Source organism: Homo sapiens, chromosome 3 (assembly GCF_000001405.40).
Source record: "Homo sapiens chromosome 3, GRCh38.p14 Primary Assembly".
Classification (NCBI taxonomy): domain Eukaryota; kingdom Metazoa; phylum Chordata; class Mammalia; order Primates; family Hominidae; genus Homo; species Homo sapiens.
In genome coordinates, this window is record NC_000003.12 from 167,682,083 (window position 1) to 167,701,651 (window position 19,569).

Consider the following 19,569-nt stretch of genomic DNA (forward strand, 5'->3'; position numbering starts at 1 on the left):
AACAAGTTCTCAACCTGTTTTGCCTGATTAGGCTTTTAAAAGTCATTTTAAAAAAACTGACTCTACATTTTTTACAAGTGTGGAAAGACAGTATTTTAAACATCTAAAACAGCAATAATCTCCATGATCCTTTAAAATGAGTACAGTTAGATTTATGAAAAAACAATCACATTGCTCTAATTTCTCTCATTTTCCTGTGGACCAGGGAGAGGTTTCTCAAATTGGTGTTTGGGAACTAATATCCCAAACAAGACGTATTTTCAGTAATAGAGGGAGTACAGTTCAGTGGAAAGAACATGGAATCTGGACACAAATTTAAACTGAGGCCCTAGCAGTTACCAGCTGTGTACCCTAAGCTCTGTCAGTTTCCTCAATTGTAAGATAGCTAAATCATAGGACTGTTAAGAGAATTATGTAAACGTAACTAGTGCTTGACACAGAGAAGGTGCTCAACAAATTTGTTTTCCTCCTCTTCCTTTCCTCTGAAGCCACTTTTCTGTTCTCTGGAAATGAATCTAACTGGGGCCACTCTGGCCTTCTTTTAACACAAACTCAGCCCTGTTGGAAGGATCACATAAGAAACTAAAGTACTCTAAGAATAAGCCTCCTTTGTGGAGGAATATTTCATGAAAACAGAAGCCAGAGATAATGGATAGTAGAATAATATGGAAGGCTTATAAAAACAGGTGATTTGAGGCATGTCTGGTAACTTGAGTTCTTTTAAAGGAGGGTAAAGACAGCAGAAGGAGTGATGATGTTAGATAATGTTAGAAATGATGTTTAAAAAGTCTGCTGCAAATAAAACAGTGTCTTTTTTCTTCATATATCCACAAGTCTATTCGGCAAATGATCACCCATCTACCTCCAAGAGTGAATGATAGTTTATGCCAAAAATAAATAAAGATCAGCATTCTATTTGTCTTACTGGCTACATATCTTTGAAGAAAAAAAAAAATCAGGTCAGTAAAATGTTCATTAATTAAGAGATTTCATCCAATTTTCATCTAATTGCCTATTTTTTTTTGCTCCTTTCAACATATTTTCATTTACATTTAACAGGATGTTCTACTTTTATGGTGCCAATGATAATTCTTTAAAAATCTGTTTTTTAAAATGGAGAAAAAATAAAATAACTTGAGTTGCATAACAGCAAAAAAATATACTGTCAACAGAAACTTAGTTTAACGTCTAAAATCTTTATAAAAGATAAGCAAATTCTGATTTTTTCCCTTTATTTTATAATTGAAAAATGAAACCACTTAACATGAACACTTGATACATAATTTCCTTAAAACTTCTCTATGGTGAAATAAAACTGTACCTAGTTGAAGAGTGTATATAATATTAACACTCATGACAATTTCAATCCAACCGTTGATATAGCTTCAAATTACTATTAATTGTGGCTATTTTTTGGGAAAAAATTGTGCAAAGCTTATGAGGGCCCAGTATACGAAAGGCTTAATTTTTAAGAGTCAAATCTACATTTGTCACAAGAGTTCAAAAAGTGGCATTATAGTGCAAAAACACTAGAAAATGCTATCTCTTACTCATAAGTCGTTTAAAACAGGTTGGAAATCATATAAAAATACTCAGTACCTTATAAGTAATTAACAAAAATATTTCCATTGACTACTCTGTGTCCAAAGTGATTAAGGACAAAAATAGAAATTCTTGCTTTATTATTTGATAAACTGCTGATAAGCTCCCATTAGAAGTTTTTTAGACATTACACCAAGTTGTCTTGGTCTTCTGTTCATATATATATATATATATATATATATACACACATATATATATGCATTTTTTCAAGTAAAGAAATGTTTAACAGATGTAAACTATTTATTGAATATTTGCCACCAAATATTGTTAAATACATTATCTTGCAGCATATCGCTTTCAAGTTAAAATGTCAGAAACAAACACCAATATTTACAATTCTTTTAAGGAATGTTATATAATGACACATTAAGGCGTAAATTCTTTTGGCTTATAATTCTTAAAAGAATGATAATAGCAAAAGTGATGCAAAATCTTCAGTGTGAGATTATGATTAAGCTACATTTTACAAAAATATGGTGTAAGATGGCAATAATCCCATTCAACATCCTGGATTAGATCCCTTCAGGAGGGACTGATAATTTATACAGTCAAACTTTAAAATTTACAGATAAAGGCAGTTCAATACTGCCACTGAGAAGTACATCTCTTAACATATACAACTTTCAGGCCACAGTTTTGAAGGTCTGAAGTATTAAGTTGGTTTGATGAATTAGTCGGTTGGCACTTACGAACACATTTATTGCCCTGTTTAAAAAGAAAAGAATAAGCATTAATTTCATCCAAAAAATTCACCCTTTTAAGATTTATACTATTAACAGTAGCAATGGAATCAATTTTAGAAAAAAAAAAAAGACAAGTTAGTATTATTAAAACTTTTATTCCAATTTAGGATATAATAGTCTTGCATCATTTTAAACTATCTAGTAATTACTGCCCCCTGGTGGTTCTGACTGGTAATAAAATGTTGGAGGACTGCTAATGATAGTGCCTCAACAACCCAGTTCATTTATAGGTGGAACAAGTTAACTGGCCAAAAGGAGGATTCAGATGTGGTCTCCAGCTGTGGTTTCATAGAAGTTAACAAGTAAAATCCAGCAAAGTATCATAATCTCAAAATTTGTAATTAATGGGCATAATACTCAAGAAAAATCTAATTACTTCCAATCTGATTCATCCCAATCTCTTTATCTCCTTAAAAAAAGGTAGAAATTCTAAGCTACAAACTACTACAAACTACTTTTACTATAAACATACTTTTAAAACAAAATAATCATGCAGTTTCAAAATCTGGGAGCTGACAACATATAAAAATATATTCTTTAAAACTGGCTTTGAGCCCCACCACATTCTCCTAATGGCTCATCTTCATGCAGCTGGGATTCAGAGATGATGCCCTAGTCCCACTGTGTGGCCTCAACAGTTTCCTAGTATCATATCTAGCATGCACCCGCATCCTAGACATTTCTCAAAAGAGAAGGCCCAGGGACTGGACCTGGTGGCTCGCACCTGTAATCCCAGCACTTTGGGAGGCCAAGGTGGGCGGATCATGAGGTCTCTTGGAGTGTGAGACCAGCCTGGCCAACATGGTGAAACCTTGTCTCTACTAAAAATACAAAAATTAGCCGGGCATGGTGGCATGTGTCTATAATCCCAGCTCGGGAGGCTGAGGCAGGAGAATTGCTTGAACCCAGGAGCTGGAGGTCGCAGTGAGCCCAGATCCAGCCTGGGCAACATAGCAAGACTCTGTCTCCAAAAAAAAAAAAAAAAAAAAAAAAGAGAAGGGCCAGGAAGAAATAGCTGAATCAATGCAAATCCATCCCCCTACTGAAAGATGGCCTAAAGATCAGGTTCTATCAATAATTTTCTGTTTTGAGGAAACAGGTATAAAACTCAAGCACATTATTGATACACAAAGAACTGGAATTTTAAAAAGCTGCTGAATGGAGAGAAAGTAGTAGCAACGACACTGAATCCATATGCAGAGTAAATAATTTCAATTAATTAATGAAAATTAGTCTCTAAATTAATGTCTACCTTTCATTGTGCTTATTCCATAATAGTAATTTAAAATCAGAAATAATAATCCCATCATGTAAATTATTATTTTAATGTGTTTTTGGTTATTTGAGCTTAGCATAAATCAAATAAAAGTTTATTTTCAAAACACAAATGCCAGCTTATTAAACTAAGTCATCAAGGAGCATTTCCCTTAGACAAACCTGTGTATGGAACACCACCACAAAACAAGTAATAAAATTTAGCTCGATATCTCTAATTCATAATATAAATGTAAATACTTCAACCTGTTTGAACTGTTAAAAATGACTCTGAAAATTAACATAATTCTATCTAATGTATTTTTATCATTTTTAAATATTACTACAATAATACTGTAATGATGTGACATGAATATAGAGATCTTAAAACCTGAATAGCAGGATGGAATGATTGAGGTCTCTATTTACTTTTCTGACTTTAAGCACTGTTAAAAAATAATCTTGTTCAAAAAATTCTCACATTTGACTTGAAGTGCAAATAACTACCTATACGGCCAGACTTTCCATCAGTTTATACATTATACGTATGCATGTATGTATGTTAAAATATATAAAATCTCTTGGTTTTCTATAGTGCATCACAACCAATTATATATAAATTAAAAAATAATGTCCAATTTACATTTTAGTATATTTCCTATTTTATAGAATGATGCTGTGAAAGCCTCTTTCCAGGAGAGTGGGTCAAAACCCTTACAGCACTTTAAAAACATCTGGGGCACTTTTACAAAATATCTAAACCCTGACTCCACTCCCAGCCAACTGAATCAGAATCTCTGCAGGTGGGGCCTAGGCAGTGGGAATTTTTTAAAAACTGTCCTCAAGTGACTCTAATGCACAGAAAGGATTGACAACTATTGCTTTAACTTTAGTGCAGTAGTTCTCAATAGACCTGTAATGTATCACCTGAAAATTTCTAAGAAATGCAAATTCTTAGGCTCCATCCTAGACCTACGAAATCAGAAATTCTAGAAGTGGGACCCTCGAGCAATTTGCAATTTGACTGTAACAAGTCCTCCAGATGACTCTGATGCCACTAAAGTTTGAGAACCACTGTTTCAGGAGTGTATAAAGTAGGCCAATGAACTAAAATTGCTTTTACATTTTTAAATGGTTAAAAAACAAAAGAAGAATATTATATGACAGGTAAAAATTATTTCAAGATACTGAAATTTGAATTTTGTATAAAGTTTTATTAAAACACAGTCACACCCCCTTGTTTGTACATTGTCTATGGCTTGTTTCTGTACTACAACAGCAGAGATGGGTGGATAACGGCAACAGGCCCACCAAATCTAACATATTTACTACCTGGCTCTTTTCAGAAAGCGTCTGATAACTCCTGTTCTAGAAAGGAGTTATGGCTAGATTAGCAACCATTCATTTTCTATTGTTAATGGTCTGCCTTCATTATCAGTTGCCTGGAGTACTAATAATAAAATAAAAGGGCTTAATTTATGTGGTTTTCATATCATATAAAACCACATAATCTATTTAATTTTAAAAGTAAAGGATAAATTACAGTACTTACTTGCCATCTTTAAAATACGTTTTCAGAGTATCACTGAAACTTTTGGAGTACTTTACAAATTCTTTCTTTTGGTGTTCAAGTGCCTACAGTCACAAAATATAATAAGAAATAAAGTACTAAATAAGAGAAATAATCACAAAAGCCAAAGGCAAGGACAAGAGATTACACAGGATATGGGATGCACTTTATATGAATATTACTAATAAGCAATTGTGGAGTACTCACTTTTAAATAAAAAGGCATATTTAAATTCAAGAATAAACTCAATGGTTAATGACACAAAACTATTTCCAACAATCAATCTTATTTTTAAGTCAATAAAACAACTAGGCATAAACCAACATCTAGGGTGTCAACTAGCAAGGCTTCTACTAAACGTACCCTGCGGTTCTGGTATTGATATTTCTTGAAGACATTATTCACTGTATCAAGAAGTTCTTTTATTGCACTAGCTATATCCCTGTTGGGAAAAGAATAAAGAATATCAGCTACATTTGAAAGAAATTTGTGAGAGAAAAGAACATCAGCTACATTTGAAAGAAATTAAGTACACTCTTAATCTAATCACAGTACACTCTTAATTATGTTAAGCGCAATCACTTCAAGAACAGCCAGCCTTTTCGGCTAGCTGGTTGGAGTGGGGATTTTAGCCTATACCCCTCTGTAATCCTGATTCTCTTGCACTGCTGACCAAAGGTTGCCAACCAAGACCAACTTTCTCAAATCAATCACATTTCATTAAGCGTTCCTTACTCAAATTTATAAAAAGATAAACATTACCTATGCCTGTCTTTTCCCATTTTAAAATTTTTCTTTGCTCTGGCTAATGTAGCTAAATTCAAGCTACCATGTTCTCTACTTTTGTTATTTGAACAAGGAACAATTTTATAATATTCTGCATTACATATAACTCAATTCTGTATTTAACAATGCTGTATGCTAGATACCTATTAGTTTTGATGTTTAACATAAAATATTTCCTCCTCAGAAAATATTCCTCTCCCCTGAGGAAATATTCTTCCTCCCTTACTCTTTTACAGACACTTTTAGCTTCTATCTAGCAGCCAAATATCCTCCTCTTTCAAACACTTACTATCAGTCACTATTCCCTTTGGAAAATATTTAAATTACTAGAGGAGACAACATCACAATATTCTTGCACTTTAACCTTCCCAGCAATCATCCTTTGACTATATATGCATCATCACCTCCCTCCCCTTTCTAAAGAAAAAAAAGAAGAAATGAATAATTCTCATTTGAGTTGACTGTTCTTCCTATCCATGCACCATTTTTTCTGAACTTTTTTTTGCCTTTCTAACTAGCCCCTTTTGATTTCCACATTTTAACCTCATAGCAATTTTTTTCCGCCAAATTGAACTTGATGTAATTCTGCATTCTCAAATAGTCTCACATTCTCTGCGACAAACCTTCTTTTTCACAGTCATTCTCTTAGCTGTTAGTCACAACAAAAACTTCAAATGCAATGCAACTGTGAAGAAATGAATAAGATGGAAATCTGCACCATCCTAAACATAACATTTTATTACTAATACTAATTACAAATGCCAGATTTCAGTTATTTCCTATCTAAAACATTTCAACATTCCTATTTCAAGGGGAAAAAAACCTCAGTGTCCAGGTTTCTGTGTGCATGTGGGTGTTTCCCAGCATATTTTTCAGTAAATAAGCTTGTAGAAATTTTAAGAATTAAAAGCATACAGAATTTTGATATTTTTTAAAAAAGTATTTTAGAGTACTCTGAAGTAGTAATTCCATTTTCATTGATTATTTCAATAATATTTTACTTATTACCTCTCTCAGGTCAAACACTGGTATTGGGCTGAAACATTGAAACATTACATATTCAAGTAGGACAGTAAGTCTTACATAAATGTTATCTAATTTTTTTTTGCCTCTGGTTTAGTAACAGCAGTTTTTAATTAGATAACTATTCCTTTCATTTATGGCTTAAGTTGAATCTTTGTATATTGGTGTGATGGACATAAACCCACTATTGTTTAATAAAATGCTGTCATAGGACTATTCTGTGAGAAAAATTACAATTTCAACAAATAAAACATGTCAAATCTCTAAATATGCAAGCTTCTCCAAATCCACAATGGAGTTATTTAAAATGGAATATAATGGAGCAAATTACATAGTGATCAGACAGAAGTTTATATAGTCTTACTTTGTAGTGTATTTCAATATTCTGCTAAAGAGGAATAAAATGTGTTTCCGGGGCTAGTCATCAAAATGAGCGTATGTTTCATATACAATAACAGTGGCTAGATTCTACAAGTCAAAAGAGTGGGTCTGAAACATGTTGCCTCATGCACCTAGGGAGACAAAAACACAGGGGAGAAGAAGGGAGGGTTTTGCTGGACAAAAAAAGAAAGACCTGCTGATAAATACTGGAAATCTCTATTTTAAAAGGGGGTGGGGGGAGGCGCAACTCCTCAGGTGACTGCTGATGAGTCAGGTTTGAAAACTTGGAGCTAAGGTTTAATGCCTTATTGGAACAGAGCTCTCTGTCAACCAAGGCCATTTATTCCTAAGCCTCTGTTTGGACACGAGGCAAAAGACTGTTAAATGCCTACCAAATTGTAGAAAAAATGTTCTCTAGAAACAATCTGCAGCAATGTATGTCAAATATTATGTTATCCATATGTACACAGAAAAGTATTTTCATTTATGGCACCAAGGTGTGCACATAGAGAAGCTAAATTATATTAGTAACTACCAGAGAGTTTGTTTCCTACGAGAGAAAATACCAGGACAAAAAAACCACTATAGACAATTAACCAGATAAAGAACTGAGAAAAAACTTGAGGGTAAAATAAATATCGCATAACTAATGAATGCGGCTTGGTGCAGATGAATTCTGTGATAAGAGGCAGATAGTATGAGTAGAAGGAGAAGGAACTTAGCAATTTGCACCAACCTAATAGCGCAGCTTTGCGAAACATTACACTGAAAGGCAAAGGCTTCAGATGAAACGTAAACATACATCTTATCAAAAAACTGCAATAGAAAAGTAGAGTTTCTAATCATGCCACCCAAATTTGCATGATACGCATTTATGCAAATGCACTAATGAAAGGGAATCCCTGTGCTTTATGTTGAGTTTGGTTTAGACTGGAAAACTCTGAAAAAATCTATTCTGAACCCTTCATGAAAACTCCTAACTTAAAACAAATAAACCTTGCTGAATTTTAGCCTAAGAATATGCAAATGCAGATTACAAACAGTAAATAAATGCCTGGCTTTTTTATTTTGGTCTGTTAAATCACGAGTCTCCACTAGTTTTCCATTAGTTGAGATGTATTGGACTTCAAAAAAAATACAAATTAATTTTATAACATATTTGCATAGCTCAAATGTACTCAGGCACACACATTCATTGATCAAAAGGCCTTTTGAAATATTTGCTGGATCATTTTTCCTTATCAACTCCATTGAGAAAAGGGAGGAAAATCCTCATTTCACAATGTTATTATAGCATGTACTGTTGAATGTATGCTAGGTTCTGTGCTAGGCACTTCATGTACATCATTTCTTTCAATTCTCACAAGTCATTACCCTCATTTTCAGAGGCACAAACTAAAATGACAGAAGTTAAGCAACTTATATCCAAGGTTACATAGCTAAATGTTGGAACACAGATTCAAATCTAGGTCTGCTAATATATTCAAAATTGCCTGAATATTTATTAGCTGTCAGGATTCTTTTTTACTTGTACTTTGATACAATCTATAGCATCACCTATAGTACTTGGTGTAATATGTATATGACATATGCTTATTGAAAAATGTTGCTAAAATGAATAAAGGGGATAACTACCTTAGATATAAGAAAGTAAAATATTGGAGAAACGCCTGAAGAAGAAATCATTTTCTATTTTAGTGCAATTTTATCCACTAATTTGTCAATTAATAATGGTAAGAACATACATGAAAATGTACCAATATATGACAGTGATACAAATAATTATACTTTAGCCTATCTATGCTATTCATATGTGGTTGAATTTTAGTCTCAGAAATAACATACATATCAACAAACTTGCCAGGGCAAATTATCCCTCCTCAAATGGTTAGGAAGTAAATTTTCATTGCCACCATTACTCTTAATTCAATTGTGCTAAATTAGTACACTCTAGAAAACAGAACTGAAGTATTATTACTCCCTCATAAAGAAAACAACACCCTAAAGAAAGCCTCTGTCAATGACTATAGACAAGACTCTTAAGCTCAATTTCCTTATGACTAAAATGTGCTGCTAATAATGTGGTTTTCAAACCGCAGCTCCCTAGAGTCACAGACGGTTTAGCAGAGATGTCTCAGGGACTCTGTAGGGGGAAAGAGGATGTCAAAGTGACAGGATGAGAGCTCTGGGCCTACATTTCTATGCCAGTTTCAACCACAATACTGTTATCTCTCTCACGTACTGGCATTCTATGTTAAAATATCCTTTTTCACATTTCTTTCAAATGGCAGAAACTCTATTTTTCAATCTCCAGATTACATCAACATTGGAAGTCTGTGATTGGGAAACAGCAGTGAACACCTGGCATTAGATTGCCTGGGTTCAAATCCAGCTCTACCACTTAATAGGTAAGTTCTGTGGCCTTACCTAATTTTCTGTGCCTGCTTCAATTTCCTCACTTGTTACTGGGTTGTTGTGATAAGTAAATAAATGTAAAGTGATTAAAATAGTGCTTAGCATATAATAAGTCCTATATAAATGATTGTTATTAAGATGACATTGATTATATAAACCTACTTCGATGATCTGAAGCAAAATCTGCTGCAAATATTATTTTAAATGTCAAATCTTCATAGAAATGTGTCATGGCTCATCAACAAGTACACGATTATCAAAGCAAATGAAAACTTACCAAATTATTTCAAAACTTTAGAAATAAATAGTCTAAACAACTAAGTTTGGGATCACTGACAATTTATCCTTTTACAGGCCAAACATGTTTACTTTAACTATACAGGGCGAGTATCCCTTAAACAAAATGCTTGAGACCAGAAGTCTTTAGACCTGGGGATGAGGCCCAAGTATAAACATGAAATTCATTTATGTTTCATAAAGTGCATCCATATATGCATACATTTTGTGCATACAACAAAGTTTTGATTGTGTTTTGACTACAACCCATCCATCACATGAGGTCAGACGTGGAATTTTCCACTTATGGTGTCATGTCACGGTGCTCAAAAAGTTTTGGATTTTGGAGCATTTAGAATTTGATATTCAAATTAGGGATGCTCAACTTGTACCAGATTAAAAATAAAACTCCATGAACAGTTGATTATCTTCCTCCTTCACATATTAAAAGTAGAAAAGGAAGCTGGGGCTTTCCCATAGGAAAGGTAAAATACAAAACCCTTAGGCCAGGCGTGTTGGCTCACACCTGTAATCCCAGCACTTTGGGAGGCCAAGGCAGGCGGATCACAAGGTCAAGAGATCGAGACCATCCTGGCTAACACAGTGAAACCCCATCTCTACTAAAAATACAAAAAATTAGCCAGGCATGGTGGCGGGCGCCTGTAGTCCCAGCTACGCTGGAGGCTGAGGAAGGAGAGTGGCATGAACCCGGGAGGCAGAGTTTGCAGTGAGCCGAGATGGCGCCACTGCACTCCAGCCTGGGCGACAGAGCAAGACTCCGTCTCAAAAACAAAACAAACAAACAAAACAAACAAAAAAACCCTTAGTGTTTGTCCCTTGTGACACAGATTTTGGCTATTCAATTAAAAGCCTTTTTTATATTCCTGGCCCTTAATTATTGTCAAAGAGTAGGGTCATTCCTTGATAGCTGGGTTGCATACCTATCACGAACCATTATTTTCTATGGGACATATTCCTCTCTTTATGTGACTCAAAAGAGAGTATCCAAACTAGCTAGGTATCCAAACAAGCTAAAATAGCATTTCTCAATGTGAATGACAAAGAATACTATTTTCAAAAGATGAATGTTTTCTTTTTCTTTCATAATTGAGATTTCATCAGTTGTGTTGAGGATCAGTACACAGACATTTCAACTTGTACATAATTCTGAACATATGTACTGCAAAATCTAAAAAGCCACGTATCATTATTATTCTCTAAAGTTATTCCAGTGACTTTCCAGCTTACAACTGAGGCAAAATTACCTTAAAAGGCTATCAAGTACCAGTACCTTCAAATGTTGATAAGCTGTCACATACGTCCCACCAATTCACAATTTAATAGCATATACACTATATACTTTAATCTTTCACAGCACATTAACAAAGTTATTAGAAAAACAGGACTACCATGACCAAAGATGTTACAGAGTGCACACAATTCTGATAGGTAGAGCCAGGCTCAAGGAGTGGTTTGCCCAAGGAAACAATTCCACTAAAAAACAACATGAAGAGTAGAAGTAATTTAAGGCCAGGTGTGGTGGCTCACTCCTGTAATCCCAACACTTTGGGAGGCCAAGGCAGGAGGATCACTTGAGCTCAGAGGTTAGAGACCAGCTTGGGCAATGTAGGGAGATGTGGTTATCTACTAAAAATTAAAAAAAAAAAAAAGAAATTAGCTTGGTGTGGTGTTGTACACCAGTAGTCCTAGCTACTCTGGAGGCTGAGGTGGAAGGACTGCTTGAGCCCAGGAGGTTGAGGGTGCAGTAAGTTATGATCATGCCACTGCAGTCCAGCCTGGGTGACAGAGTGAAGTAATTAAAAATGTTCAAGACATGAAATGCAGGACTGCGACTCCACTTTGCCATTTAGTATGCTTTATATTATGGGATATAAAAACTAACCACCCATCTATGGAATGTTAAGCTGACACCCATAACAGTCAAGGCTTCCCATAATTCAATATCCAACATTATTTTCCCATTGTACCAAAAAATAACCAGCAAATTAAATTATTTCACCTCTTTAAAAAAAAAAGCATTTACACTTAAAAAATGGAATGCAGTGGAATTCCCTCCTTAAATGTTTCTAGAGCTATTAAAAAACATTAGAGCTACTAAAAAACATGCATTTACAACATAGTTGATAAAAATATTCTCCTGGATTATGTAAGAAGAGAGACGGGGAACCACTGATAAGACATGGTATGCGATATTAATCAGACTGGGCTTCTTTCTCTCCTGCTTCAGAGGCTGGACTCTCTTCAGTTTTAGTTTTTCTGTTTTCTGCAGGTAAATCTTTATTCTTAGCTACTTTGGCTTGTTTTCACTTTCCTACTCTTTTCTCTTTTGTTTGCACTTTTTTGCCTGAAGATTTATCTTTTCCTGCTACCTTTTGGGGCTTCAATTTCCACTACTGAAAGAGCAGGTTTAGCTGACAACCACATCAATCTCCTTTTGGGATCTTCCCTCACTGTCCCATCAGCTGAGCTGACCGTCCTCTTGGGCATCCTGGAAGTGGGGAAGGCGCATATCAGATGCATGTGGGCCATGGCATGCTGAGGGCCTTCACAAAGCTGGGCTGCCTGGCTGCTGCCACTCCTCCCACTGCCCAAACTCCAAAAGATGAATGTTACTATTTATTCCAAGTGAGTCTCCTTAGGTTCTTCAAAGTTACCACATATGTCACAGCCTCTTCCAGAAAAAGACCTGCGCTAAATCTTTTCTCCCCAGCAATATCTACCTATGGTTTCACCAAAACCATGCATTGATAGTGACACTGCAAGTATTCCCAGCTTTCTTTGTTTTTTATCCACTGAGGCTGAAGAAAATTATCAGACTTTCTAGTTTAAAGATACTTATGTAGGGATTATGTTTTCACTCAATCCCCTACCCTCTCACCCTTCACTGTACTCCAGAAGAGTGTCCCTGGTCTGAGAACTACTGCTCTAGGATGACCCTTCTTGCTGCTGCTCACCAGCCAGCCTTCTGGCCCCATGAGTATTCTTGGTCTTATTTAACCTATATCCCCCAAAGGCAAGGATTTAGAGGCTATTTGGTCAGTCTTAGAAAACACTACTCATGCCTAAGAGTACGTTACTTACCTTAATGACTGCTGCTATTTCTGAAATAAAAATTATTTTGGTATATCTTACTACCAATCTCTAGGATATATCCAGTTTCTCTATTCATTTATCTGACATTTATATCTTCCCATCATTTATGTAGTTCAAACTACATTCCAGTTTATGCACATTTCATTGTTGTTTTAAAATTAAACATTCTAAAAAATGCTGTACTCTGAAACCAAACGCCATAAAGTTAATAAAATGTGGTATTTAAAAATTTGAGATTTTATTTCAAATAAGCATTTCAAGTTAGTCATACCAAAATTAAAAAATGTAGATGAGTAGTTCCTCGGAAGTACTTTTAAGAAAAGAAGAAACAAAACAAATAATTGCTTACTTGATTGTCTGCAGAAACCTCACTCTGTCATTGATCTCATCTGGGATCTTACTGAGAATTTGTTTAAGTGCTCGTGCCTTTTCGTTTAGGTCTTGGAATTCTGGCTCTGGTCGTTCAATCATATACTCTGATAAAATAAATACATAATAAAAAACATCCTGCGACTCTCTGCCAAATTCATCACATCTAAGAATTTCCAATGTTGGTCAAAGGCAGGTGAGGGAGGTGAAAGGCCAGATAATTAGGAAAGACAAGGTTGCAAAGCAGAATTCATTAGCGTTTGACTTAGTCCAGTAACAACAGCAGGGCTCCCTTCAAGTAAAGTATCACAAAAAGAAAGAATAAATATTTTCAATTTGGGACAAAAGGACATCCCATGAAATCTTAAAAAAAAAAAACACACAAAAAAAAAACAGATTTAAAAGGGAGGCTTAAGTTCAACCGTACTCTGACATTACATTTCCCAAGGAAACCTTAAATTAAATAATGAGTGTCATAACTAGTGCAAAGGTAATATCTACTTGCCAACTGGAAAGATTAAAAATTTAAAACCCCTATATTTAATATACATTGCTTCATCATATTAAAACCCCAAATAATCTAATAAAATCTTCTACACATTTTTGAAATCTCACTTAAAAACAAAAACACCAGCACAAATCCAACACACAGGCTGGGATCACAGAACACCAATTTTGGAAAGGAGACTTCACTAGATTCATTGCAGACTTGGAAGCATTACAACTCTACCAATTCATCAATATATTATGGCCTAATGGGCTGCAAATGCTCAACTCTAAATAATGATAAGGGCTTTCTTAAAATCATGGAATCAGTTAAAATACCTGCTTTGTGTTCTTCCTTAATAATTCTGGGAAATTATATGTCCATATTTTTCTAAATTAGTGGGAAAACTGCTACTAAACTTAAGTAAAACCAACGTCTAAATAATTTCAAGTAAAAAAAATAAGAAAAGTAAAAAGGATGGTTATATTATTCTCTTAAATCTGTGCTTGAAACACAGATGCTGTACTAAAGTTAAAAAAACAACAAAACAAAAACCTCATTACTTTCAAACTGTTGTTTGCTTAAAGTCAACACATTCCAAATAAGCTTATCTTTTAGTAAAACTGAAACTCACCAAACATAAAGGGGGGAAAAATTGAAGTATGCAGCATAAACAAAGTTCAAGTAATTAAATCTCACAAATATAAAAAGCAAGAAAAACCATTTTTCTATTTTATCTACATTAGCTTCCACTATCACTATCACCACCACCACCATCATCATCATAAGTGAAAGGGAGGGAGGGAAAACAGTAGGGAAGGAAGATCCTTTGGTCAAATAATAATGATTTAGAGGAAGTGCTATTTAACAATTGTATAACTTAAACAAGGTTCTTCTGTCCGTTACCTTCTACATCATCAGCTGCCATACGAAGAAGGGACTCCGTGAAGTTAACTTCCACGCTTTTTTTCTCTAAAATTTTCATAATGATGTCTTGTGTGAGACCTGGATTTTCTTTTTCAGCCTATAATAAAGAGAAAACTAGTTTTGAAATACAGATAAGGAATCAACATTTTAAAGCCAAAGTTTAATTGTTTAGAATCTGTTGGGAGCGTCTTACACTGATAACTTTTAAGGGCAGAAATCTTTGTAAAGCAGGTGTCATGATAGCATTCACTAAGGCTTTGTTAGAGCTTGTGCACCCGACTCTTTACTATGACTAAGGTTCCATTTTCCATTTGAACAGAAAGAACTTAGTATTTTCTACTCTTCTTTATACTCTTTTGCAATTGAACTAATAACAAAGATAGAATTAAGGATTATATATGTTTTAGTAATCTATCAATTGCTATTCTCATTACTTTAAATATCTTGAGAATTTAAGCTTTTTTTAATGTGCTAATACTGCAACTCAAGGATCAAGCAATAACTCATCTGACTAGTGTTTTGCATATTCTTTCCATTTATATTAAGAGAATGCCAGGAAAAACAAAAAAGGATTTATTTTGAAGGTTTTACTGAACCTATATAATAATACCTTAACTATTTTCCCACACAATGATTTTCATTTCCTATTTTATTTTTGTAGCAAGAATATTTCCTTCACTGGTTTCTAGAACATCATGAAACCTTTTACTACCTTTTGAGCTTGTTTCATTGAGTTTGCATTGGTTCTATGTTACTTAGACTCCCCAAGACACTAAAATTTTCTAGCCATTTCAAGACTGGGCATAGAGTTCTGAGTTTACCAAAGCCAGAGTTAATCTTCAGATTTCAGTTTTTCCCAGTAAATTCTGTAATCACACTTGATGTTTGTTTCCTGTAGGATGCCTGCCAATTTTAATCATTATGCTGATGATTTTCTTTCCTTTTTGCCCTAATATTAAACAGCAAAATAGAAACACAATTTACGATCTTAATCAGATGGCAATCTTTTTGTTTCCTTATGTGTCAAGCACACTTAACCTCCGCCTCTTCAATTCCATTGATTATCACTGCAGATACAGTTTTCTTCTCTTCCTATTGCTCTTTCCATTATAACATCTTGTTTCTCATTAGATCTCAAGTATCAAAAACTGAAGGGTTGTGGGATGAAATGAGAAAAGAAAATACACGCATTTATTCCAATCTTCGGATCATTTTAAATGCTGTCAGATACTATTCAGGAAAATCATTTTGATAGATGATTAATAACAATAAACTGTGTTTGACTGAATCCTGTTTCTTTTACAGCCTATGTTGACTTTTCCTTCCATGGATATATATTTTAAAAAGAATCTACTTTTTAGCCAGGCATGGTGGGGTGTGGCTGTGGTCCCAGCTACTTGGTAGGTTGAGATGGGAGGACTGCTTGAGCCCAGGAGTTCGTGGCTGCAGCGAGCTATGATCATGCCACTGCACTCCAGCCTATGATACAGAATAAGACCTCGTATTAAAAACAAAACAAAACAAAAAAAACTGTGTTTTTTAAAAAAGGAGTTTCCTTTATAAGATGTCCAAATATGGCTTAAGATGTGTTGTTATAGCATTAATGCGGTGAACTGCCACAAAATTACATATAATGTAGCATTCAGTAACAATACTTTATCTTATCTAGCAATAAATCTTCCTACATAATGAATTATCTTGGGGAGAGGGGGAACATTCTCTATGTGCTTGCAGGGGACAGAAAAAGAAAAGCATATCTCTGATTAAGTTATAATAAAGTACTGAAAGGTTAAAATGCTGAAAGTCTGAGAATAAAGTTTTCAATACCAAGCTGGTCTGGGACCCCAAAATGCTAAAGCTAGAGCATTACAAAAGTCTCACAAAGGTCCCTAACTTTCTCAGTTTTCAGTGTCCTTAGTGCCAAAAGATACACCTCACAGTGCTGTTTATTAAATACTTAGGTCTAAACAACTTAATAAGTATAGTGTCCTAACTACCTAGCCTTTAAAAAAATAATACACATAAATTGAAAAAAACAATTTTTACTCTGTTCTTAAATAACTATTGTCACTTATTACTGGGATGTGTGTGCCTACTGGGCACTTCATAATTTCTCAAACATTGGTCTTAGATTGGACCTTGCCCCTCTCATTTCCTCTTGCAGATATATTTTTTTCTGGTACTTCTGTTAGATCATAGCACTGGCCAAAAAGTCCAGCTTCTCAATGATCTAACACCAATGAAAGCAGTGAAGGACAATCCAATATGCTAAATTGCAATCCATCTCAAGCTAGGAGTCCATGCAGTGTCAAACAGATGTTGAGTATCACTGTACACCTTCACAATTTTAAAATACTTCGTGGCACCCCTCTGAATTTGCTATGGGCCACCAGGTACCTCAGTACATAGTTTGGAAGGAGTAGTCTCAGTACCTCCTGGCTAAAAACCTGGTTAAGCTAATTCTTATTTCAAAAGCTTGAATTTACCAAATGGCTCTGACTGACAAAATGAATAAATATGGTCTTAAATCAGGGAGACAATCTACAACTCTTAGGTTTTCCCTCAGAATACAACATGAACCCTGTAGGGTGTCTAATCTTTGTAAAGAATCCAGCTGTAAGAAAAAAATAAACCGAAGGGCAGCAACATACACTCTTGTGGATCAGTGATTCTCAGTCTGGAAGACGGACAACCTATCGGAACCTCTCATAGAGGATAAGGGGGAGAGGGAATCAAGTAGAATATAGCTGACCCTTGAAGAACTGGTTTTAACTGCTCAGGTCCATTTACATGCAGATACTTTTCAATAAATATATAGGAAAAATTTTTGGAGATCAGCAACAATTTGAAAAAACTTATAGACAAACTGAGTAGCCTATAAGTAGTGAAAAAAATAATAAAAACACATGTTATGAATGCATAAAATATAGTTATCCACTAGTCTATTTTAGTATTTACTATAAAATAGATACAAATTATTAAAAAGTTAAAATTTATCAAAACTCACACGCAAACAGACTGTACATGGTGTTATTTGCAGTTAAAAGAAATATAAACAAATATACAGATGCAATATTAAATCATAACTGCACAAAATTAACTGTAGTACACGTGTATATGTAATAAGTTTGAAGCCACCTCCTGTTGCTATTGCAGTCAGTTCAAGTATTAGTAAGTATATGATTAAAACGCCATGTGACTCTAATCAACTCCATGTGAACAGTTCATCTCTCCAGCAAACTGCACATCCCAGTACAAAGTAATACCTCCCAGCCCTCACATATTTTTCTCATCGTGTTTAGTGCAATACTTTAAACATGGGATAATACCATGGGACCCGACAAAGTGCCACTAGTGATGTTGGAAGTGTGCTCAAGAAGCAAAGTCATGACATTACAAGAAGGTGTATTGCATGATACTGAATTGCTTGAATACAGTCTAAGACTCACTGTAAGAAAAAAAAAAAAGGAAATTCATGAAACAAAGCCATTGCTGCAGCTACATCAGCAGGTACAAAAACCTTGCATGTTTTGTGAAATACCTTTTTGTCTCCTGTTGAAAATGCAGCTTTTATGTTGGTGCAGGATATCTATAAGAAAGGCATACCTATAGACCCTAATATGATTCAAGAAAAAGCAAAGTCATTCTATGACAACTTAAAGCAAAAGGAAAGTCTAAAGCTGAAGAATTTAATGCCAGCCAAGGATAGTTTGATAATTTTAGAAAGAGGTTTTGCTTAAAAAATGTCAAGATAACAGGAGACCCAGATTCTGATGACCAAGAGGCAGCAAATAAGTCCCCACACACCATTAAGAAAATCTTTGAGGAAAAAAATATCTGCCTGAAAAGGTTTTTAATACAGATCAAAGTGCCCTATTCTGAAGGAAAAAATAGCCACAAAGAATATTTATTAGTAAAGCAGAGAAGTGAGCACCAGAATTTAAGGCAGGAAGAGATAGGACAACTCTACTGTTCTGTGCAAATGAAGTCTGGTTTATGATCAGGACTGTCCTTATTTATAATGCTGCTAAACCCTCAAGCCTTGAAGGGAGAAGAAAAACACCAGCTTCCAGTCTTGTGGTTGTACAAGAAGACCTAGACAAAGAGAACCCTTGTTCTAGCCTGGTACCATCAATGCGTTGTTTCTGCGGTTAGAAAGCATCTTGGCAGGAAGGGATGGTCTTCTGAAGTTCTTCTGATTGTCTATATATATCTATAGAGATACCTATATATCTCTATATAGCTAGATCTACAGATATCAGATATATATTGAGATATCAGATATATATATAGATATCAGAGATATCTACATATACATACACACACATATATATGTATTGTATATTTAATTAGAGACAAGGTCTTCCTATGTTGCCTAGGCTGGTCTTGAACTTCTGGCCTCTGGCCTCACACTTCAGCCTCCCAAAGTGCTAGGATTACAAGGCATGGGCCTCCGCACCTAGCCTTTATTATTATTGTTGTTCAAAAAAATTCTTCTGATACTGGATAATGTCCCTTGCTTCCCAGAACCCCATGAGTTCAACACTGAAAGGCATCAAAGTGGCCTACTTGTCCCAAAACACCACACCTCTAAATCAGCCTCTACATCAGGGGATCAAGAA

General features: G+C 34.9%; 1 protein-coding gene and 1 pseudogene across 12 annotated transcripts in view, besides 1 other annotated feature; both read right to left on the reverse strand.

Annotated features, from left to right (window-relative positions):
* Window positions 1,216-19,569, reverse strand: part of PDCD10 (programmed cell death 10) — a 51,595-nt gene continuing 33,241 nt past the window's right edge. For all 12 annotated transcript variants that reach the window (NM_145860.2, NM_145859.2, NM_001439202.1 and 9 more), the window contains 5 exons: window positions 14,927-15,044; window positions 13,514-13,640; window positions 5,533-5,611; window positions 5,152-5,234; window positions 1,216-2,307 (listed from right to left, as the gene is read on the reverse strand). In NM_145860.2, coding sequence (NP_665859.1) covers window positions 2,226-2,307; window positions 5,152-5,234; window positions 5,533-5,611; window positions 13,514-13,640; window positions 14,927-15,044 — 489 coding nt within the window. In that variant the 3' untranslated portion in view covers window positions 1,216-2,225. The remainder of the gene's footprint in view (window positions 2,308-5,151; window positions 5,235-5,532; window positions 5,612-13,513; window positions 13,641-14,926; window positions 15,045-19,569) is intronic.
* Window positions 9,455-9,594: a silencer, noted in NCBI's record as "silent region_14866". NCBI's record gives its function as "represses an Ori minimal core promoter by ATAC-STARR-seq in GM12878 lymphoblastoid cells {active_cell/tissue: GM12878}" and the evidence as "EXISTENCE:reporter gene assay evidence [ECO:0000049][PMID:35858748]".
* HMGN1P8 (high mobility group nucleosome binding domain 1 pseudogene 8) lies at window positions 12,273-12,560 on the reverse strand (annotated as a pseudogene).